Source organism: Homo sapiens, chromosome 6 (genome assembly GCF_000001405.40).
Source record: "Homo sapiens chromosome 6, GRCh38.p14 Primary Assembly".
NCBI classification, from domain to species: Eukaryota; Metazoa; Chordata; class Mammalia; order Primates; family Hominidae; genus Homo; species Homo sapiens.
The window spans coordinates 43,681,370-43,704,547 of NC_000006.12; the positions used below are offsets into that span (position 1 = coordinate 43,681,370).

General features: G+C 46.2%; 1 protein-coding gene and 1 long non-coding RNA gene across 4 annotated transcripts in view, besides 6 other annotated features; one reads left to right on the forward strand and one right to left on the reverse strand.

Annotated features, from left to right (window-relative positions):
• MRPS18A (mitochondrial ribosomal protein S18A) overlaps window positions 1–6,422 on the reverse strand; it is a 16,590-nt gene extending 10,168 nt beyond the window's left edge. For all 3 annotated transcript variants that reach the window (NM_001193343.2, NM_018135.4, XM_006715134.4), the window contains exon 1: window positions 6,299–6,422. In NM_001193343.2, the coding sequence (NP_001180272.1) occupies window positions 6,299–6,410 (112 nt within the window). In that variant the 5' untranslated portion in view covers window positions 6,411–6,422. The remainder of the gene's footprint in view (window positions 1–6,298) is intronic.
• Window positions 2,739–2,788: an enhancer, noted in NCBI's record as "active region_24612". NCBI's record gives its function as "activates an Ori minimal core promoter by ATAC-STARR-seq in GM12878 lymphoblastoid cells {active_cell/tissue: GM12878}" and the evidence as "EXISTENCE:reporter gene assay evidence [ECO:0000049][PMID:35858748]".
• Window positions 6,176–6,235: an enhancer, noted in NCBI's record as "active region_24613". NCBI's record gives its function as "activates an Ori minimal core promoter by ATAC-STARR-seq in GM12878 lymphoblastoid cells {active_cell/tissue: GM12878}" and the evidence as "EXISTENCE:reporter gene assay evidence [ECO:0000049][PMID:35858748]".
• Window positions 6,176–6,792: a biological region, named in NCBI's record as "H3K27ac hESC enhancer GRCh37_chr6:43655287-43655898".
• Window positions 6,181–6,792: an enhancer, noted in NCBI's record as "H3K27ac hESC enhancer chr6:43655287-43655898 (GRCh37/hg19 assembly coordinates)". NCBI's record gives its function as "activates a minimal SCP1, AML or CMV promoter by ChIP-STARR-seq in naive and primed H9 embryonic stem cells {active_cell/tissue: H9 hESC(naive and primed)}" and the evidence as "EXISTENCE:reporter gene assay evidence [ECO:0000049][PMID:30033119]".
• LOC124901320 (uncharacterized) lies at window positions 7,593–8,524 on the forward strand. Its single transcript, XR_007059586.1, has 2 exons — window positions 7,593–7,970; window positions 8,302–8,524. It is a non-coding gene; the product is annotated as an uncharacterized LOC124901320 (long non-coding RNA).
• Window positions 21,535–22,520: an enhancer, noted in NCBI's record as "H3K27ac-H3K4me1 hESC enhancer chr6:43670641-43671626 (GRCh37/hg19 assembly coordinates)". NCBI's record gives its function as "activates a minimal SCP1, AML or CMV promoter by ChIP-STARR-seq in naive H9 embryonic stem cells {active_cell/tissue: H9 hESC(naive)}" and the evidence as "EXISTENCE:reporter gene assay evidence [ECO:0000049][PMID:30033119]".
• Window positions 21,623–21,722: a silencer, noted in NCBI's record as "silent region_17240". NCBI's record gives its function as "represses an Ori minimal core promoter by ATAC-STARR-seq in GM12878 lymphoblastoid cells {active_cell/tissue: GM12878}" and the evidence as "EXISTENCE:reporter gene assay evidence [ECO:0000049][PMID:35858748]".

Genomic DNA, 23,178 nt, shown 5'->3' on the forward strand with positions numbered 1-23,178 from the left:
TTCCGCACTGTTTTTGCCTTTCTATGCAAAGATTTATCTTGGTTCTATCCAAAGGAATTGGTCAGATCCTGTCCTACGGTGGCTAGCAATAAAAGAGGGTGGGGTAGTGGTATCTAAAAGACCTTCAAAAGTACGCAGGCGGTGTGTGTTCCTGCACAAAGAGAATCAGATAAGAATGGTTTCTGCTCTGAAGAGTTTACAATGTAAGATATAGCACTGAACTAACACTATTCCAGTGGCACCCCAGTGAATGAGCAAAAAGACAAGTTCACTCCTAGAACACATCCTGGGAGTCTTGAGTGAAATCCTCTTCTCCCTGCAGGGTTGCATTTTATTATCTATACTGGAGAGTGTTGATGGATGCGGTAGGAATAAGGAGCATGAAGATACTGGGTCCAAGAAGAATTTCAAGTACTGCCATTCCAAACAGAGAGGGACACCCTCAGTGCTTTGCCTATTTAGGTGAGGCAGTCAGAAGAGAATCTGAAGGCAAGACAATCAGTTGCACACGTCTGTCAGGCTGAATACATTTCCTATCTTACCTAACCAAGATGCAGAATGAGCCAATAGCCCACATTCAGCTAATATAATCAAATAGTTCTTGGAGATACTCCCGTGTTGACACAGTTTCTTTAGAAAGATAGAAGCCAGACTGGGTACAGTGGCTCACGCCTGTAATCCCAGCACTTTGGGAGGCTGAGGCGGGAAGAAATACTTGAGCTCAGGAGTTAAGGAGACCAGCCTGCGCAATGTGGCAAAATCCTACAAAAATCACTAAAATTAGCCAGGCATGGTGGCATGCACTTGTAATCCCAGCTACTTGGGAAGGTGATGTGGGAGGACTGCTTGAGCCCAGGAGGTTGAGGCTGCAGCGAGCCATGATCATGCCACTGCATTCCAGCCTGAGGGACAGAGCGAGACCCCATCTCAAATAAACAAACAAACACCAATAAAAAGAGAAGGGACCATCTAACTAAAAAGGCAATTGTAACCCAACCAGAGGCCCATGGCAGCATCTGTGATCACTGAGCTCTGTGACCAACACCTAATTGGACACAGACTGCTTGGAATTGTCCCTCATTTGTCTTCTGGGCAACCCATTCATAAAGACTCACTGCTCCAAAACAACCAACCTGAGAGCCTCTCAGTGTCCAACTCCAGACATACAAAGGAATAACAATGGCTAGAAAAGCCCTGAGGCTTTCTCCAGAGAACACTGTAGTTACTAATCAATTCAAAGACAACCTAGGTTTTTCCATGTAAAAGAAAATGGGTCACCCCACACACGGATCTACTTGTACAGAACACAGACCAACCCAAGAATGGGATTTGGGTGAGACTCAATGTGGTCCTCAGTCTGGAAGCCAGCACAGCTGCAGAGGGAAGGTCACTGCAATACGTCAATCTGCAGAATCAACCTACAAACGGAGGATGGGGAGAAATGAAGGGAGGTAGGAGGAGGGCACATCCCCAGTCCAGTAGGGGTTCCAGGCACCCTGCAACTTTGCTAATTTGCAAAAACCAAGTTGAGAGACAACCTAATCTGAGCAACAAGTAGTGGGGAAAGTTTCTAAGAATCCCCAAAGGAACCAAAGGAGAGACACGTTCTGGTACCACTGGAGTCGGCAGAAGAACAATGCCTTGAAACACAAGTGGATAAACATGTGGTTCCCTGCTTGGTGGAGGCACTTGGGTCCTAACCATGAGGTAAACAAGTCTAACAAAACACACATCACTCCCGGCAAAGTACCAAATCCTGAAGTCATCCCACTGGCCCCTGGAAAACAGATCAAAGCCCATGGCAAGCTCCACTGTTCACAAACTCCCCCTCCACGCAGCAACTGTGAGCCAGCGAATCATCTTACTAGAAGCCAGTGGGTAAAACAATAGGCAGATGCTTATCTAACAGAGACAATTTGTCAAACCAGAAGGAATGACCTGAGAACTCACATTGAACTGACACTGATCAGGGTGGTGTCTTAGTGCAGGGGGAGAAGGCCCTGTTGGAACCTGGTCCTTGAGGCCCTTAGTAGATTTTAAGCCCCTCGAAAGAGGAGATAGGAATCAAAATAGTATTGATTTACAGGGTGCATACAAAAACGTGTCAAAACCAAACAAAACCTGATCCATTTTGTTCCTGGCTGCCTCCCTATTCAAGAGAAGTGGGGGTGGCTAAGAAAAGCTGGACTGAGAGATTTAGGCAGTAACAGAAAACTTGTTTAGAAAAAGATGGAATCACCCTTGTGTTCTGAGATATGGCAGTATCAAGTAAGCTAAGGGAAGAGATGAAGCAGTTTTCTAAACTGGAACTAAGGGCCAAAATCTTTCCAGATAAGCACTTCTCATACACATGAAATAATCTGTCCCCAGTGAGGCAACACATTTGCTGGGCACTTATGGACTATACAGCTTCATTCTACCTACTGTGAATTACAGTAGAATAGGAGCCACAGTCTTTGCCCTAGAGGAGGAAAAGAACTAAACTCTGCATGGGAACTTGACTATAATAAAGTCCATGCCTCGTAAAGAGGTCCTTTGAGTACTTCAGTAAATACTTGCCCAGGATGGAGTCCAAGATAACTGAATTATAACAGTGTGGAACAAATGACATTGTGGTGAGATTGCAGTGAATGCAAAAGGAGGAGATGGGGTGACACCTATAGTCTCAGCTACTCAGGAGGATCACCTGAGCTAAGGAGTTAGAGGCCAGCCTGGGCAACACAGCAAGACCTTGTCTCTTAAACAACAACAACAACAACAAACACAGAAAATGCAAAAAACCTTGATGGCCACATGAACAGACACAGTGAACTGCAGCCATGTAAAGACTCAACTGCTTAATAAAAGAGGAAGTGAAAAAAGATGAGGAGTGCAGGGCACTGCTGAAGTGCCCAGAGACCAAGGTCCCTCTTGGAGAGGATCTGTAAAAACCAGGGCCCAAGCAGAGTAGGAAAGACTGGAGTAACTGATGGCTGGGCAGTGGCCCTAATAGTCTTATGTAGGGTCAGGGAGAGGTGTGCCATGTTTGGGATGTGTGCTTGCATTTCTGGCCACTGACAACTTTTTGCAAACACCTTCCTGCCTCAAGCCCTGCTTCCTCCAGTTCATCTTTAACTCTACCATTAAAGTTTCTGGTTCCCTCATCACCTCCCCCTTTCTTTCCCTTGGACCCCTGAGGGAATGTCCCTCTGCCCTATGCTTCAGAATGAGTCGTCTTACTGCTGCACAAAAATTTCTTCCCACTAGCAGGTTACTCTGGACTATGTCCCCTGAATTCTTTAAAGACTCCAACTCACTCCTCTCTCAAAGCTTTTATATGGGACTGCCCAACCTGCCAGGCATACCCTTGTCTGAAACGTTAGGTCTTCCAGAAGGCCTTCTTAACTGACTGTGAAAGAGATGAAGCAAATTCCCTTTGGCCTTTACTCACTTCAATATACCTTTCTCTAAGTGTCTGACAAATCATGTCTTAATTTATATAATAATATGTTTGTTTTTTTATTTTAAATACATTTCCTTCACAAGGGCTCTAAGAGGGATAAGGGAGGAATGAGATCCAACACAGTCTTTGCTAAATCTGGCAGTGCCAACCATAATGGCACTAAATGGTCTTTGGCAAGTTAACTGCTAAGAGCTTTCAGGGAAGGAGGGAACAATAAGGGAGGCCCTGCCATGGAATACCAAGGTGATGTTACTGGTGGAGAGGGAAGAGGGCTGGCTCTACTTCCAACTCCATCACTTATTAGACAGGTGATGCTGGGCAAGCTATTAAACCCCTTGGAACGGCATTTCCTCATTTATAAAAATGAGGACAGTTAATATCTACCTTTAAGGTGTTTTTGAGAAGACTGAATAAATGTATGTGGAAAACCTAGCACAGTATTTGAAGCAGGCACAGTAAGTCACAATTTCTATTTTCGTCCTCCTTCAGTCTTGCTTTTCCCATAATAACCTTTTTTTGGCTTTGTGTATCTCTCTGGTCAAACTTTAAACCAGGCTTTCTCAACAGCAGCAGGACTGCCATTTTGGGCCAGATGGTTCTTTGTTGTGGGGAACTGACTTGTGCATTATGTTTAGCAGCGTCCCTCGCCTCTACCCCCCAGATGCCAGTAGTACCAGTTGTGACAACCAAAAATGTCTGCAGACATGGCCAATTGTTACTGGGGGACAAAATTGCCCCCCAGTTGAAAATCACTGTTTTAGACTGAAAGTCTTCATAGACAGGAAAATTGGTGCTCAGTCCTCAAGAGCTGACTAAAATTATGTATTATTATCTGATACTTTGAAAAGTAGGATGCCTGAATATTTTCAGCAAGAGAACCAGCTTCTTTCCCACAACTTTAAATTCTATGTGTACAATATTGTTTGGGTGTCACATATACCAGCTGAGACTAGTCAAAATTAGCTATATGTATAATACTTTATGCCTTACACATAATGCATAGACTAGCAAAAGAAAATGTTTTCATTTACAAGCTTTGAAGATAGGTGATTCTTAAGAATATAGAATATGGTAGTGCCTTCATGTAGAATCATATTAATTCAACCTAACATTTAGATGAAGGACTTCAGAGACCCATTTGATTTACAGTCCATCCTTTTTTACTTTTTTTAAAGAGGTGGGCGTTCTCACTACGTTGCCCAGGTTAGACTCCAATTTCTGGGCTCAAGTGATCCTCCCACCTTGGCCTTCCAAAGTGCTGGGATTAAAGATATGTACCACTGTACCTGGCTTACAGTCCATCATTTCACAAACTCTCCAAAGGAAAAAATTAAGTCTAACTTCAAATATTTGTTGTTAAAACAAAACGATTCCTCTTGCCTTTTTTTCTGGAAGCATAGCAAAATCTGCCTCAACTTTGAATTTCATAAGAATATGCAAATTGTAGCCAATAGTGTTTGACACTTGGTAGACTCCCCAAAATGGTATGGAGATATGCCTATTTTGCAGCATGGGAACAAATGAAACATCCAAGTCCTCTCTATCATCTGCATGATTTCTTTAGTGTCTTTATTAATGGGTCTACTAATGGATAAGTTAATCAGGCAATATCCAGACTTTTTTTTCTAGCAAATGCTCCACTTCCCTTACGGGCTAAATTCTTCAAACATACTTACTATTTCCATCTCTTCATCAACTATCTCTTTCATTTCTCCAAACTGGATTCCTTGTTTGCCACTCTATTGAAATTGCTGTTTGAAAGCTACAAAGAGACCTCTTCTGAGACAAATCCAATGGCCCCTTCATTAGGCCCTTTTTAGACTTTTCTGCTCCCTCTGACAACAATGATCACTCTTTTCCACTGGATACTTCTCAGCTTTCGTTAAAGGATATGCTGCCCAATACTATGCCAGATCCTCAAAAAACCCCACATCTCTTCTTTTGCACATCACTCATCCTTTCCTGCTTCCAGGAGTACACAAAGGAAGGCTATGTCCTAAAAGACCGTTTCACTCTCCGCCAGATTCCATCCTTTTGTGAGCCTGCTCAAGACACATCCTCTTTATGAAAACTTCCAACTGGGTTTGCCGTTTCCAGTAACTGAGTCTCCCTGTACTTCGTCACGTAAAAGGCTAACTTGCATTTATTGGAGTGTGTATATACATAATCTCATTAGAACCTAAGCTTTTCAGAAAAAGGGCTGTATTTTCTGTCTCCAGAATTCCTTCACAGCTTGAAGCATAGCACTTGGCATTCAGTAAACTCTCAGTTGATGCTCGAATCAGGCCGCTTTCCCAGATTAAGATTAATGAAAAGCTGAACTACCATCCTGCATTTGCCTATGTCTCAGCTATTCAATGGCCTTTCCACTTTGGCCTCCCCCTCACAGGGAGACTAGCGGCCCGGGGCAGAGAACGCCGCCATCAGATCACAGCATTTTGAGAAGGGAAAGTGGAAAGGGAGGCTCTGGGAGGGTACCCAGATGGCCTTCCTTCGTGATCCAGAGACTCTTTAATAAAAGAGACTGCGATTCGGAGAACATGGAAGGAAGAATTAACATGCAAACCCTTTCCGAAAACTTTTCTGAGCCCTAGGACAGGTTTAGTGTCTGCTCCTGCTAAGTAAGCAGGCTTTTCTCTCCGTCCTCCTCCGCCTTGTGAAGATACTCACAAGGGGCAGGAGATCAAGATAAGGCACCAGGGTGTGGAAGGGGCTTTTAAGCACGCCTGGGGAGCCGGTACCTCCAAAGTTTCAGAATCGGACGAAGGAAAGGTAGGAAGGAGCGCACCGGGGCTGGCGGAAGCAGTCTCTGCCGCTCTTCTTAATTTCAGGAGGTTGCTGGGACGCATGACTCACCTTCCCTGAACCCGCGAGCTGGAAGCCGAGACCAGCTGGTCGCTGCCGGGCCCGCTAGTAGCCCACGGAGAAGCCGCCCACAGCCGGACACCAGAGCCTTGAGGGCCGCCATCTTCAAAAACCTACCCTGACCTCTCGTCCATTTCCGCTTCCGGAACGTAGCGCCCGCCGCCGCAGTGGTGGGGCAGGAACGGCGGGGCGGGGTTGTAGTTCGCTTGCTCCTGTCACATCATTTCTCTCACCTGTCCGCTTTGGGATACGAAGAGAGGCTTCTGCGTCAAGCCTATATTTCGTGTTAAGGATCTAGGGGAGGTCTTCTAGCTCCTGTCTGCCAATGCCTACAAGTCTTCAAGGTTGCATTCGTTTCCTGGAAGGCTTCCTTAGGAAAATCGCACGCAACACCCCACCTATGTCTTTAAAGCTTTCTCTTCACTGCACGTGAGCTGTGGACTTTTAGCTTCTGTGACTGGGGCTAGACCTCTACGGGAGAGGCTGAAATGGTTAGGAACTCTGGCTCTGGAGTATCGGATATCAGGCAGACCTGGGATAGAATTGATACCCCCTTCTTCCCTGACCACTGCCACACTGATCTTTGATTTGCATATACTTAGACCTCTCTCTAGCCCCAGGGCCTTGATACAAGCTATTTCCTTTGTCTGCTCTTTAGCTGTCTAGTTAGCTTCTGCTTATTTCTTAGAGCTCACCTCAAACCTTATTTCCACAGTTTTGCTTGACTGCCCATTCTCAGCACCAGATGCCTCTCCATCTTAGTGCTTGGGACAATTTCAGTTTTATGTTTGTTTTGTATGTGTCTTCTCACCAGACTGTAAGCTCCATGAAGTCAGGAACATTGTTTTCTGTTGACTCGCACATCTCCAGCACTTAGAATAGTTCCTGACACATAATAAGAGTACAATATATACTTGTTGAATGAATGAGTAGAATCTATTTTATAGGGCCTAGGGGAGGACTAGACCCTGAAGATTAGATGTGATAAAACATAAGTGATCGGCCGGGTGTGGTGGCTCATGCCTGTAATCCCAGCACTTTGGGAGGCTGAGGCGGGTGGATTACCTGAGGTCAGGAGTTCAAGACCAGCCTGACCAACATGGTGAAACCCTATCTACTAAAAATACAAAAATTAGGTGGGTGTGGTGGCGGGCACCTGTAATCCCAGACACTTGGGAGGCTGAGGCAGGAGAATCGCTTGAACCCAGGAGGCGGAGGTTGCAGTGAGCCAAGATCACACCATTGCACTCCAGCCTGGGCGACAAGAGTGAAACTCCGTCTCAAAAACAAAACAAAACAAAACAAAACAAAACAAAAGGGCTCAATAAACATAAGCTAGTTAATAGAGCAGTTATGGAGATGACTCTTTTCACAAGTTGGACTCACTTGTGTTGTAAGGAAGCTTATGGTACCAAAGAGAAAATACAACTGCCAGTTTTTCCTCTTTCAGATTTGTGAGACGTATAGGATGTTCCTCTGGAGCTCCACAGGAAAGGAAAATCATTCACAACTCAGTTCTTCCTATCCTTCTCTGATTCAAGATGGGAAAATCAGGCTTATTAAATGACATAGCATGTTTTCTGATGAGTAGGAGAGGAGCCCATCATCCAGTTGGGACCGTCACCCTAATAGGAGGATGCAGAGCAGCTGCTGTATGGAAAATGTGAGTGGCATCACCATAGACAGGGAGAACAGGAGAAATGCAGCATTGGGTTACGTTAAAACATCTCATTTAGCAAAGGTAAACCCGGTGAAGGGGAAACTTAAAAGAAAAGTCAATCAAGGTGGTAGAGACTGACACATGGATTAGGAGTGAAGCAGAGGGTCTTAGTGAGGTGTAGGTCTAGGTGTCCCAGCCAGGATCAAGAAAGCTTTGACTCTCCCTATAGCTTCCAAGTTTGTTCTGCATAGATGACCTTGAGCTTATAGATGTATAGATGACCTTTTGTGTTTGTACTACATCCTCTGTTTCTTCACCCATTTCCAACTTCCAGGAATCCAGTAGAGACAAGGGCAGCAACAGAGCCCCACCCAGGGCTTGCTTTGGACACAGTGAGCTAAAGCATTCGAGTGCCAACCCTCTTCTCATTATCTTATCTTAACTTATCATAAACAAATTTTATTTTAAAAAACAACTATGACAGGTAACATGTGATCATTGTAGAAAAATGAAACAATAAATAAAGTAAAAAGAAAATAAATGTCATCTAAAATCCAGAGATAAGCATTGTTTACATTTAGCAAGATGAAATAATACTGTGGATATTCTTTGCCTTATAATATCTTATTTTTCTGAATCCATTTATGATTAGTCCCTACAATTCTGTGAGACCAGGTTTGGATCAGGAGACTAGCTTTAAAAAACAACACATCTTTTAATTAAAGTATTACCTGTGTAAGAAAAATACACAGGCTGGGTACAATGGCTCACGCCTGTAATCCCAGCACTTTGGGAGGCCGAGGCAGGTGGATCACTTAAGGTCAGGAGTTCGAGACCAGCCTGGCCAACATGGTGAAACCTCATCTCTGCTAAAAATACAAAAATTAGCTGGGCGTGGTAGGCTCCTGTAATCTCAGTTCCTCAGGAGGCTGAGGCAGGAGAATCACCTGAACCCTGCAGGTGGAGGTTGCGGTGAGCCGAGATCACGCCATTGCACTCCAGCCTGGGCAACAGAGTGAGACTGTCTCAAAAAAAAAAACAAAAAACCCAAACAAACAAACAAACAAAAAACAACAAAACACACAAATCATCAGTGTACTGCTTGATGAATTTTCGCAAAGGGACACACTACCCATACTGGAGTGGAGTGGCATGTTCAAGCAGAACTTGACTGGCACTCTAGAACACCCCATTGTGTCCCCTTCCAGACACTACCCCGCAAGGATAATCATTATCCTGACTTTTAGCACAATACATTACTTTTCCCTGCATTTGACCTTTATATAATATTCCACTGTGAATATACTATATTTTAAAAAATCACTTTTTTTTCTGTTGATAGAATTTAGATACTTGCCACTTGGGACTACTACAAAGAGTGCTGTAACGTTCTTCTACGTGACTCTTGGTGAACACAAGAACAAACTTCTTTGGGGCCTATCTCGCGGTAGAACTGTTAGGTTGCAGGGTATGCCTATGCTCAGCTTTAGTAGAAGATATTGCCTTGACAGTTTTTACAAAAGCCTTTTTAAATTAAATTTTTTTTTTTTGAGACAGAGTCTTGCTCTGTCACCCAGGCTGGAGTGCAGTGGCGTGATCATGGCTCACGGTAGACTGGACTTCTTGGGCACGGGTGATTCTCCCACCTCAGCCTCCTGAGTAGCTGGGACTACAGGTACATGACACTATGCCCGGCTAATTTTCTGTATTTTTTGCAGAGGTGGGGTTTTCCCATGTTGCCCAGGCTGGTCTTAAACTCCTGGGCTCAAGCAATCTGCCTGTCTCAGCCTCCCAAACTGCTGAGATTACAGGCACGAGTCACCATGTCTGGCCCAAAGGCCAGGCTAGATACTGTCAAACAATTTTCCATAATGATTGTACCAGTTTACTCTGGTATCAACTGTGTGTGACAGTTCTAATTGCTCCACACCTTGTCAATATTTGATTTTTTTTTTTGGTATTTTTAATCTTGCCATTCTGGTTGGCGTGTAGTAGGATCTCACTGTGTATTTATCTTACATTTCTCTGATGCTTAATGAAGATGAGTAACTTTTCATATGTTCATAGACCATTTATTTATATTTATTTATTTATTTATTTATTTTTGAGACAGAGTCTCACTCTGTCCCACAGGCTGGAGTGCAATGGTGCGATCTTGGCTCACTGCAACCTCCGCCCCCCAGGTTCAAGTGATTCTTCTGCCTCAGCCTCCCGAGTAGCTGGGATTACAGGTGCACCCCACCATGTCCAGCTAATTTTTGTATTTTTAGTACAGACAGAGTCTCACCATGTTGGACAGGCTGGTATGGATCTCCTGACCTCCAATTATTCACCTGCCTCGGCCTTCCAAAGTGTTGAGATTACAGGCGTGAGCCACCACACCTGGCCAATAAATTTCAAGCGTGCAGTTTATATAGCAATATAGGTCATTTAGACATCTCTTTTGTAAAATGTGTGTTTAATATTTTGGCTGATGTTATATTGGGTTGCCTGTGTTTTGCTTTTCTTTTTTCTATTTATTTATTTATTTAAAGACAGGACTTCCCTGTCACGCAGGCTGTAGTGCAGTGGCACATTCGTGGCTTTCTGCAGGCTTGACCTCTCAGGCTCAAGTGATCCTCCAACCTCTCAGCCTCCTGAGGAGCTGGGACTATAGGCATACACTATGATACCCAACTAATTTTTTTTTTTTTTTTGAGATGGAGTCTAGCTCTGTCGCCCAGGCTGGAGTGGAGTGGCATGATCTCGGCTCACCGCAACCTCCGCTTCTTGGGTTCAAGCAATTCTCCTGCCTCAGTCTCCTGAGTAGCTGGGATTACAGGCTCCCACCACCATGCCCAGCTAATTTTTATATTTTTAGTAGAGACGGGGGTTTCACCATATTGGCCTGGCTGGTCTCGAACTCTTGACCTCTGGTGATCTGTCTACCTCGGCCTCCCAAAGTGCTAGGATTATAGGCATGAGCCACCACGCCCAGCCTGATACCCAGCTTGTTTTTAATTTTTTTGTGGAGACAGGGTCTCACTATGTTGCCCAGACTGGTCTCGAAGTCCTCCTCTCAAGCGATCCTCCTGCATCAGCCTCCCAAAGTGCTGGGATTACAGGCATGAGCTACAGCTCCTGGCCTGTCTTTTTCTTATTGATTTGTAGTTCTTTATATATGCTGGATACTTATCCTTTCTTGAATATATGTACTTCAAATGTCATCTCCCTCTCTGTGGGTTGCCTTTTCATTCTCCTGTAGTTTTTTTTTTTATGAGGAGTATTTAAAAAATTTTAATATAGTGCAATTTATCAGTTTTTTTCTTTTATGGTTGATGCTTCTTGTTTCCTTTTCAATTCTTTTTCTGGCTGGGCGTGGTGGCTCATGCCTGTAATCTCAACACTTTGAGAAGTTGAGGCAGGACGATTGCTTGAGCCCAGAAGTTTGAGACCAGCCTGGGCAACAGGTGAAACCCCATCTCTACTGAAAATACACAGAAAAATTAGCCAGGCACGGTGGTGCATGCCTGTAGTCTCAGCTACTCAAAAGGCTGAGGTGGGAGAATCACCTGAGCCCGGGAAGTCAAGGCTGCAGTGAGCCATGATTGTGCCGCTGCACTCCAGCAGCCTGGGCAATGGGAGTGAGACCTAATTAAAAAAAAAAAAAATTAGCTGGGTACGTGCATGCAGTCCAGGTTACTTGGAAGGCTAAAATGGGGAGGGTCACTTGAGCCCAGGTGTTTGAGGTTACGGTGAGCTATGATGACGCCACTGCACTTCAGCCTGGGTGATGGAGTAAGAAGGTGTCTCTACAAAAAGTAAAAAATAAATAATAATTTTTGTCCTCTTCAAGGTCATGAAGATGTTCTTCTGTCTTTTTTTCTAAAAACTTTATTGTTTACTTTTCACATTTAGATCTTTGAGTCATCTGGAATTGTTTTGTTATGGTCTGAAACTGGGATTAAGATTAATTTTTCCCGTATAATTTCAATATCTAACTGACCTAGCACCATTTAAAATTTTCACACTTTTCCTTTTTTTTTTTTTTGAGACGAAGTTTTGCTGTTGTTGCCCAGGTTGGAGTGCAATGGTGTGATTTCCACTCACTGCAACCTCCACCTCCTGGGTTCAAACGATTCTCCTGCCTCAGCCTCCCGAGCAGCTGGGATTACAGGTGCCTGCCACCATGCCCGACTAATTAAAAATTTCACACTTTCCCCACTGCATTTCATCTGGTCTGTTTTCTGGAATCTCTATTTAGTTCCAGTGGTCTCTTTTTCTGTCATTCGGCACCATACACACACACACACACACACACACACACACACACACACACACACACACATATATATATATATATATATATCTTCATTTGTTTATTTTTTCAGAGATGGAGTTTTGCTCTGTCACCCAGGCTAGAGTGCAGTGGCTTGAACATGGCTCACTGCAGCTTCAACCCCCTGGGCTCAAACAATCCTCCTGCCTCAGCCTCCTGAGTAGCTGGGACGACAGGCAAACTTTGGCACTATATTTAATGGCTATGTACTATTTCACTGTCTGGAAGTGCAATCTCCAATCTCCAATTGCTAAGCTTTGGCTTTTTTTTTTTTTTTTGAGAGGAAGTCTCACTCTTGTCCCCCAGGCTGGAGTGCAATGGTGCAATCTCGGCTCACTGCAACCTCTGCCTCCTGGGTTCAAGCGATTCTCCTGCCTCAGCCTCCCAAGTAGCTGGTATTACAGGTGCCTGCCACCATGCCCGGCTAATTTTTGTATTTGTAGTAGAGATGGGGTTTCGCCATGTTGGCCAGGCTGGTCTCGAACTCCTGACCTCAGGTGATCTGCCTGCCTTGGCCTCCCAAAATGCTGGGATTACAGGCATGAGCCACTGTGCCTGGCCGCTTTTAGCTTGCTTTCAATTCAAAATATTTTCTTTCATTTTTTTTTTTTTTTTGAGACAATAGTCTCACTCTGTTGCCCAGGCTGGAGTGCAGTGGTGCGATCTTGGCTTACTGCAACCTCTGCTTCCCAGGTTCAAGCAATTCTCCTGCCTCAGCCTCAGCCTCCTGAGTAGCTGGGATTACAGGTGCCCGCCACCAAGCTTGCCTAATTTTTTGTATTTTTAGTAGAGACAGGGTTTCACCATGTTGGCCAGGCTGCTCTTGAACTCCTGACCTCAGGTGATCCACCCGCCTCGGCCTCCCAAAGTGCTAGGATTACAGGCGTGAGCCACTGCGCCTGGCCCAAAATTTTTTCTAATATCTAGCTTCCTACTCCAAAAACAGTATGTTCTATTCAATCAGTGAGTCTTTTATTCCCTTCTCCCTAGTTGAGTATGCTGTGGATTCTTTTTGTAAGTACAACAGTGCTGTGGAATGAAAGGGGGTCAGGGCCCTTGTCTGGGAGCTGCAGATGGTTAGCTGCCACCCAAAGTAAGGGTCTTTTTCTGAGCCTAAGTCTCTAGGGTTGTTGACGGAGTCATTCTCATGCATGAGAACTATTTCCAGCTGCAGTGGCAATCCTGGAAATTAAAGAGAAGCAATGACAGTGTATACACATATATGAGAGAAGGGAGTCTGAGGAACCTCTCTTTATTTCTGAACCTCTCTTTATTTCTTCTATCGCCTCCTCTTTGGAGAAGCCCAGCCCCCTTGGTTCTACCCCATTTCCCAAGGAGACCGCCCTTCTTCCTCCACACCTTGTCCTGGACTCTGTCTTAATTCTGGAGATAAACTTACATCCCAAGTAAACCTTCTCAATGAAGATGTTCAGGGAAACCCACAGGAGATGAACCCAGAAATGTTCATTTTGCCAAGGAAAACTTAAATTCGCAGCAGGGATGATCTGGTCGAGTGATGTGCTGCTGGCTAACAGGAAAGCGAGGCTCAGGCCAGATCCCAGGAAGGAGTTAGGTCAGCCCATCTGAGGCTTCAGGCCTGGGGAGGTTCTGGTCCCAGCTGTGGATGGCTGTGCTCTTCCAGCCTTCCTTCCACCTCACCCAGGAAGAGGGGTCAGGGCCAAGAGCAGTGCAGATGTGAGCCATGAAGGAGCAGAGGCAACGGAAAGGGGCGGGAAGGTGAAGGGAGAGATGATCTGATGGAGACCACGTGGGGCTGGGGGAATTGCAAGGGAAATCAGAGGAAGGGGCTGGCAGACTGGAGTGACAGTCATGTTTGCTTTTTCCTAATTAATGCAGTTTCCTTACAAACCCCCTGCTGATTCCCAGCTGGTCGACTCAACCATAACAACATGTGGCCTGCCCTGCCTAGGCCAAGAACTGAGGCTTGAGTCTCCCAAGAAGGGTCTGGTTTCATCTGCAGCTGCTGCCTTCCTCCGCCTCAAGGGCTCTGTCTGGATGAAGGAAGGGACAGCACCTTAAGCTGGGGAGAGAACTGCAATGGGAACGGCCTGGGCCTGGCCGCTTTGGGCTGGCCTGGTGACACACCTCTGTTTCCTATGACCTTTAAAAAGGGCAGTTCCCTCCTGTTAGAGCTCCTGCCTCCCAAACAGGTATGAGCGGGGGTGGGGTGGGGAGTCCTTGGACAAAGAACCCCTTGCCTGGTGGTGGCTGCTCTACAGGTGTGTCCTGCTTGACGCAATAGGCCTGGAAACAATAGGGGTGTGTCTAGAGTCTCTGCTAATTCAACATTTTCCATTGCTTTTTCAGTGCTGTTTGTCTTTTCACAAGGACTTTTACTCTGCCCAAGTTATTCATTCTATCCACACATTTGTTCATCATTTATTTTGCCAGTGAGTATCAATTGAGGAGCTACTACGTGCCTTTTATAAACAAACGATGACGTGCACTAGTCAACACTCCAGGGGTGAAAGCTCTTGTCTGACAAAGAAACATTTTGTAAACTCGATGGTTGCCCTGGAATTTACTTGCTCTCTCTCTTTTGTTTTAATTTAAAATTTTAACTTTTTCATTGTGAAATAAGACACACATCCAGGAAAAGTATATAAAACTTAAATGTACTGTATAACCGATTAATTATAAAGCAAACCTGATTCATTTCTATGCTGGAGCATTAGGCTATGCAGCGCCCTAATATGGATAATGAGGGAAAACACAAAAAAGAAGTGGAATTGGTGAGAGGTAGAGTTAGGGAACTTCAGATCCCAAAGCCTTCTGGGAAACTGAGGCCAGAGGAAGAAGGCCCCAACCAAAACTGCCTGCCACAGGGGAGGAGGCCTGCTGTGGCATTTGGGTGCACTCCCAGGCACGAGCCAGGATCCAATCCAAGTGAGAGGTTCAGGCTGTGATTGGGGCCAGTGAGGCCTGCTCAGCTCAGGTCTCTCCCAGTGTAAGCAAACCCTGGCCAGACATTTTTACAGAATGCCAGATGCCCTTTCTGAAAAGGCCACGATGTCCTTGTTATGCGAAGAGATGCACCCAATTCCTTTCTCCTGGTGTCCACATGCAGTTTTTTGTGTGTAAGGAAAAGGTTTTAGCTTCTTAGGACACTTTGGAACTATTGGCTATTTTTGCTAACACGCACAAAATGGCGCCCTAGGGAGACACTGTCTCCTGTGTACATCCCTGTGTGTCATCTGTTTCTTCCCCTATGAAGAAATAGATAAAGTCAAGCCCGGGTGAGGTGGCTCATGCCTGTAATCCCAGGACTTTGGCAGGCCAAGGTGGGACGATCGCTTGAGGCTAGCAGTTCAAGCCTACAGCGAGCTATGAATGTGCCACTGTACTCTAGCCGGGGTGAGACCCTGTCTTTAAAAAAATTTAAATTTAAATTTAAAAAAAGATACAGGGCTGGGTGCAGTGGCTCACACCTGTAATCCCAGCAGTTTGGGAGGCTGAGGTAGGTGGATCACTTGAGGCCAGGAGTTCTAGACCAGCCTGGCCAACATGGCGAAACCCCATCTCTACTAAAAATACAAAAATTAGCCAGGTGTGGTGGTGCACACCTGTAGTCCCAGCTGCTTGGGAGGCTGAGGTGGGAGAATTGCTTGAACCTGGGAGGTGGAGGTTGCAGTGAGCCGAGATCATGCCATTGCACCCCAGCCTGGGTGACAGAGTGAAATCTTGTCTCAAAAAAAAGTAAAAAATGATACAGAAGCAGGAGGAAAGCACTGCAGTTGGGAAATCAGGCTGTCCCCTAACCAACTGGAAATATGCAATGAGATACTCATGTTCTCTGGGCTTCAGTTTCTCCATCTGTAAAGAGTCCCATTTGGTTCTAGAATTCTGCCATAAACAGGCCCATCATTGGTCCCTAGAGTGGCACGAGTTCAGTGTGTAGCCTCCTCCCTGCTCTGCTGTTCTTCAGTCTCACCCGCTTTTATCCTCAGCAATCCCCTCAAAGCCAATAAGCCCCAAAGCCACAGCAATATTCTTTTGAGCTCTAGCCTTTAGTATCCAACTGCCTACAGAAGTTTCTGTCTGGTTCTTCTGAAGGATCTTAAATGCACAGTGTCTAGGTAAGTGCATCACAACCTTCTTTTTTTTTTTTTTTGAGATGGAGTCTCACTCTGTCGCCCAGGCTGGAGTGCAGCGGCGGGATCTCAGATCACTGCAACCCCCGCCTCCCAGGTTCAAGTGATTCTTCTGCCTCAGCCTTCCGAGCAGCTGGGACCACAGGCATGCGCTACCATGCCTGGCTAATTTTTTTGTATTTTTAGTAGAGGTGGGGTTTCACCATATTGGCCAAGCTGGTCTCGAACTCCTGACCTTGTGATCCACCCACCTTGGCCTCCCAAAGTGCTGGGATTACAGGCGTAAGCCACTGTGCCAGGCCAGCCATCATCACCTTCCTAATAAATGCCATCCCTGATGTTGGTCTCCTGGTCACTCACAGAGTCACCATCAACTGCCCTCCCCTCAATTTTCAAAGTTTTCCCACATTTCATAAATTTCAAAGTTACCTCATAATTTCCCCCTCTTCCTTGCTGTTTCAATTCCCACCACCTTCTATAGTACCTTGATTTTCCTATTGCCTTCAAGCTTCCCACCTCCAATCTGCTCTACTGCTACGGTTTAATGTTTCTTTTCTTTTCTTTTTTCTTTTCTTTTCTGCAGCCCTCCAGGAAGACCGTGCTTAGGTGGGGGTGGCAGGGGGTGCAGGGCATGAGAAGGCTGCAGGGCAGGCAGGACAGGGGCAGTCACAACACTCCTTCATTAATACTGTTCATGACTTGAAGAAACCTCTGAGTGAACTTTGGATCTGATGGTTTCAGGGTGAATTTATTAAAGTTGAGGGTATTCATATTAAAATAATATAAACTAGATTTTGCCTGGGACATGGGTACTCATGCCATGTGGTATGTGCTCCACAGACAGCTTGTGTGTGCGCGTGTGTGTGTTTGTGTGTGTGTGTGTGTGAGAGAGAGAGCTGTTATAACTCGATATTTGGAAAAATGCCATGTTTTTCCATTTGCTTACAGTTTCCTTTTGACCCCAGAGAAGACTTTTTTTTTTTTTAGCTCTATGAGCAGCTATCCAGAGAAGATTTTCTGATGCATTTGTCACTAGGAGCTGCCAGGTCATGGAACGTGAGAACCCAGGGGAGGAAGTGGAGCCGGCCTCTCTGCTTACTCCTACTGGGTCATTGGGAGGCAGCTGGCCAGAACGGAGGGAGAGAGAGAATGTTTCTTTGCCCTTTTTTTTTTCCCATCTGACCTTTTAAAGGGACTTGTGCCCTGCTGCCTTCCTCTCAGAAACTGCATGCACGTTTGAATGAAGGCAGGGAGGGGGATGGGGGAACATGGACCATTAGGTAGGTATCCAGCACACTGCTTCCAGGCTAGGTTGGTCCCCAGATCTCTGTCGGGGTCCAGGGCTCAGGGCCATTCCATCACCTTAGATACCAGGGGTGTGTCTGAGGTGATGGAATGTTGCTGAAAACCTGTGTATTTCATCTGCCTCAGGCCCCTGAGTCTCTGAGATCTGAGGGTCTCTGATGGGTGGGATGGCCTCTCATTCTTACACCAGTTCTGGGAGGCAGGAAAGGGCAGGCAGAGGGGGTTCCTCTTTCTGGAATGAACCCCCCTACTCACACTAGCTCCAGAGAGGACAAGTGACTTGCCCAAAGTGACCCAGCAAGTCAGAGACAGAGTCCTATTCAATCAAATGACCTGACTTCAATCCCAGATAGAGATACTGCATTTGCTCTCTGGTTGGGAGGAAGGGATTTCTTGGGGGGCAGGATATTCCTGTTGTCCTATTCATTGTCACCTGCCGAGACTGAGAAGAACCTGCTCTGCTCCCTCAACCCTGGGTATGCCCAAGGAGCAGATGGAGGGGAAAGAGCAGAGTGGGGAAAGAGGGAGGGAGAGGCCAGGACAGGGGGAGGCCGAAAGAGAGGAAAGGGCTTGGGGACAGAGGGAGCTGGAAAATGAGCAAACAAAGTCCTGGAAAACAACTTGTATCCCCTTCCCGGCCTCCCTGCCTGCCTTCTCCACTGGAGACAAGTCATTTAGAATAATGAGTCATAATTTGATTACATTGTCTTCCAGCCTCGCAAGGTAAACAAGGATCTCCCCTGGAAGGAAGGAACGGGGTGGCCCAGGCTTCTGGCAGACTCCCTGAGCCTGGGCAGGGGTTTTCCCCTCCTGCAGTTGTCCCTCTCTTCCTGAGTGCGCTTGAAAGACACGTCTGGGTGGCTTCAGCCCCATGTTCCACTAACATTTACATTCTCTTTGTGTCTTCTGTCTGACCCCCCACTCCCCTCCCTGGTAATGTCCTTGCCCTGAAGCCTGCACACCACCATGTAAATATTTAAACCGATCTATTATTTCCTGTTTATTATCAGCATAAATCCTGAGTTCATTCATTGAGCATCTGTCCCCTGGTGTCTATCTCAGAAGGGGAGGCCTGAAGCCAGGGCCATATGTCCACTCTTTTCTAGGAGTACAGAGTCACTCAGGGCAACTGGATTGCTAATTTTGTCTTTTATTTATTTTATTTCTTTCTCCAACTTAAAAATTGTGGCAAAATATGCATAAATTTTACCACCTTAACTTTTTTTTTTTGAGATGGAGTTTCACTCTTGTTGCCTAGGCTGGAGTGCAATGGCACAATCTTGGCTCACTGCAACCTCCGTCTCCCGGGTTCAAGCGATTCTCCTAACTCAGCCTCCCAAGTAGCTGGGATTACAGGCATGCACCACCACGCCTGGCTGATTTTTTGTATTTTTAGTAGAGATGGGGTTTCTCTATGGTGGTCAGGCTGGCCTTGCACTCCCAACATCAGGTGATCTGCCTGCCTTGGCCTCCCAAAGTGCTAGGATTACAGGCATGAGCCACCGCGCCCAGCCCATCTTAACCATTTTTAAATGTATAGCTCTAGTAGTATTAAATACATTCATATGGCTGGGCGCCGTGGCTCACGCCTGTAATCCCAGCACTTTGGGAGGCCAAGGTGGGTGGATCACCTGAGGTCAGGAGTTCCAGACCAGCCTGACCAACATGGTGAAATCCTGTCTCCACTAAAAATACAAAAAATTGGCTGGGTGCAGTAGCTCATGCCTTTAATTCCAGCACTTAGAGAGGCCGAGGCGGGAGGATCGCAAGGTCAAGAGATCGAGACCATCCTGGCCAACACGGTGAAACTGCGTCTCTACTAAAAATACAAAAATTAGCTGGGCGTGGTGGCACGTGCCTGTAATCCCAACTACTCAGGAGGCTGAGGCGGGAGAATTGCTTGAACCCAGGAGGCAGAGGTTGCAGTTAGCCAAGATCGTGCCACTGCACTCCAGCCTGGCAACAGAGCAAGAATCCATCTAAAAAAAAAAAAAATTAGCCGGGCGTGGTGGCGGGTGCCTGTAATCCCAGCTACTCAGGAGGCTGAGGCAGGAGAATTGCTTGAACTGGGAGGCAGAGGTTGCAGCGAGCCGAGATTGCGCCACTGCACTTCAGCCTCGGTGACACAGTGAGACTTCATCTCAAAAAAACAAACAAAACAAAACAAAACAAAAAAAATTCATATTGTTAGGCAACCATCCCCACCTTCTATCTCCAGAATTCTGTTCATCTTATAAAACTGAAACTCTGCATTAATTTACACAAATTCCCCATTCCCTCTTCTTCCCCTTTCCCTGGCACCACGCTTTCACTTTGTCTCTGGATTTGATGACTCTAGGTGCCTCATATAAGGGGAATCACTCAGTATTTGTCTCTTTGTGACTGGTTTATTTCACTTAGCATGATGTCCTCAGGTTCATCCATATTGCAGCAAGTGTCAGAATTCCCTTCCTTTTTTTTTTTTTGTTCTGAGGCAGGGTCTCACTTTGTCCCCCAGGCTGGGTGGAGTGCAGTGACATGATCTTGCTCACTGTAGCCTCCACCTCCCGGTTTCAAGTGATCCCCCTGCCTCAGCCCCCCAAGTAGCTGGGACTACAGACATGTGCCACCATGTCCGTTACTTTTTGTATTTTTTTGTAGAGATGGGGTTTCACCATGTTGCCCAGCCTGGTCTCAAATTCCTGAGCTCAAGTGATCCACCCACCTTGGCCTCCCAAAATGCTGGGATTACAGGTGTGAGCCACTGCGCCTGGCCATTCCCTTCCTTTTTAAGGTTATATTCCATTGCATGTACGAACCACATTTTGCTTATGTGCACTTGGGTTGCTTCTGCCTTTTAGCTGTTGTGAATAAGCTGCTATGAACATAGGTGTACAAACCGGCTTTCATTTTTTTATTATTAAAGCCTATTTTTTATTGATTGCTTATTATGTGCTCAGGACTGTGTAGACTTAATCATTTAATTGTCACAAGTACCTCCTAGGTGGCAACTATTCTCTCCATTTTATGAATGAAGAAATTGAGGCTCTGACAAGCCAAGTAATTTGTCCGAGGTGACGAAAGGGGAGAGCCAGAATGAGCACCTGCTCCTGTTCTTTAACCACCATTTTACTGAATTGTGTTGATGATGGACATGAAGATGAGGTCTTGGGGTATATTGCCTGCAACACCTCCCTCCCCTCTCCAACAGAAAGGGCAGACTCTTCCCCTGACCATCTGCCCAGTGAGATTGGGAGTGAATCCATCCTGCCTGGATGATTCCATCAGCAAGGGCTCTCATTCCTGGCTGCTCATCAGCATCAACCAGGGAATTAAAAGATGATGGCCTGGCCTCTCCCCGGAGTTAAACAGAACAGTTGAATTGAACTCTCTCAGGGCTGGAGCCCAGGCAGCAGCGTTTTTTAAAGGCTCCTTAAATGGTTCTATGTGCAGCCAGGGTTGAGAACCACTGGGCTAGAGGAGAGCGGAGGAAGACTACAGGAGAACTGGTTCCCTGTCCAGCCTCTTTGACTTTCCTTGTGAACTGCTCCACCGCTTTCCCAAGAGTGGCATTTGGCTATGAATGCCCTGAATCCCGTGACTCAGAACCCCTGGAGTGCCTCCCTTCTTTTCCTCCAGAGGTTCTGTTTGGGGTGTGTGAATGTGTGTGTTTGTGTGTGTGTGTGTGTGTGTGTGTGTTTGTGTGTGTGTCCCCTGTGTGACATAGGGCCCGGATGGACCTATCTGGACCAGCCAGACCCTAGAATGAAAACAAGTTGCTGACAGCCCTCAGGCCGCCAGAAATGAATTTCCGTCACCTCCCAATGAGGGGTGAGGGAACTGAGGGGGAGGGCCGGGGTCAGTGCGTCATCAGAGGGTGGGGAGAGGAGGAGGGGAGTACACAGGCCCCACAGGGCGGGGTCAGGGAAATTAGCCTCTGGGCCTGCCCCGGCTCTTTTGCCTGTGACTGTGGCACAACTCCCGTGGTGTTTTGCCCCAAGCCCCACCCATCCTGAGTCTCCCTGAGCTCTGTCTAAATCCAGGGTGGTGTCCAAGCCTGGAGAATTTCCAGGTTGGGCTCTGCCCTAAGGCATCCAGCCTGTGGAGCTGCTTGAATGGGGGCACGTTGGGATGAGGGGGATCAGTTAGCCTGTCCTGGGGATCTTCCTCCAAGCCAGCCTTGAGCCAAGACCTGTAAGATCCATGTGGGCCTAGCAGCCTGCCAGCTCAGTGCCTACAGCAACATGGAGGAAGGGGCTGGGGGTGCAGAAGAAGACCTACCTTGGGCACTGGAGGACAGAGGTTCAGCCACTGCCCTCCTGTGTGCCCCTGTGCAATCACTTCTCTCTGCGCCGTGACATCTCCATGTGCGTTAATTATAAAGGATTAAAGGATTTGGCCCAGATCCCTAGTTCCCAAATTCAGTTGCGCTTTGGAATCTTTCGGGGAGCTTTAAAAACTACCATTGACAATTTCATCCTCCAGAGATGCTGATTTAATTGGTGTAGTTTGTGGCCTGAGCATCAGGAGTTTTAGAAGATCCCCGAGTGAGTCTAATTTAAAGCCACGTTCTAGAAAACTACTTCCTAGCCACAGATACATCATGGCACCCATAGAACATGACAGTATTTGAACAACACACTGTTTCTTAGTCGCTCTGTGCCTCAGTTTCCTCATCTGTACAATGGGGATAATAATGGAACTTGCTTGGTAGGGTTGTTGTGAAGATTATATGAGCTAATGCAGAAAGGCATTGAGAAGAGCACCTGGCAAGTAGTAAAATGCTCAATAAATGTGAGCTGTTTTTATTAATTACCCTCTGGCTCTGCTCCAGATCTGGCCCAACTTCCACCCTCTGTCTTATCTCTCCATGTTCACACACCTCACCAAAGCGACTCAACCTGGTAAACATTTACTAGGGGTCCTCTGTGTGAACCATGCTGTGCCAGGCATTGAAGAAGGGATGTGGTGCATTTGGAATCACCTATGAAGCCGGGGACCCAGAGATGCATAAAACAGGTTTTTGCTCTCAAGACCCACAATCCAGGCCGGAAGAGGCAAGCATGGAAACAGACCTGGCAGAAACACTTCAGGGCTGTTTAATACAGAGGATACTGTCACTCTTTCTGCTTTCTAGGGACATGGCATGGTTCCTCTTGGGGAAATGATTCTTTTGTGGGGAAATCACAGCAATGGGCCCTTTGTGCGAAAAAGGCATGGCTTGACTATGTGAAGATGAAGTCAAGACAGTGATAATTTTGCATAAGATTTGAGGAAGCTGGCATCTATCTCTGAGACAACTGGCCAGAGAGGAGTGGAGATGGGGCCCTCGGAAGAGGGCCAGTGGGTGAGGACTACCATCAAATAAATCTCCAGGCAGAATTAAGCCTCATCTTGATTTTTAAAAAGCATTTTTGTTTGTAGTGGTATATTTTCATATTTTAATTTTTTTTTTTTTTGAGATGGAGTCTCACTCTGTTGCCCAGGCTGGAGTGCA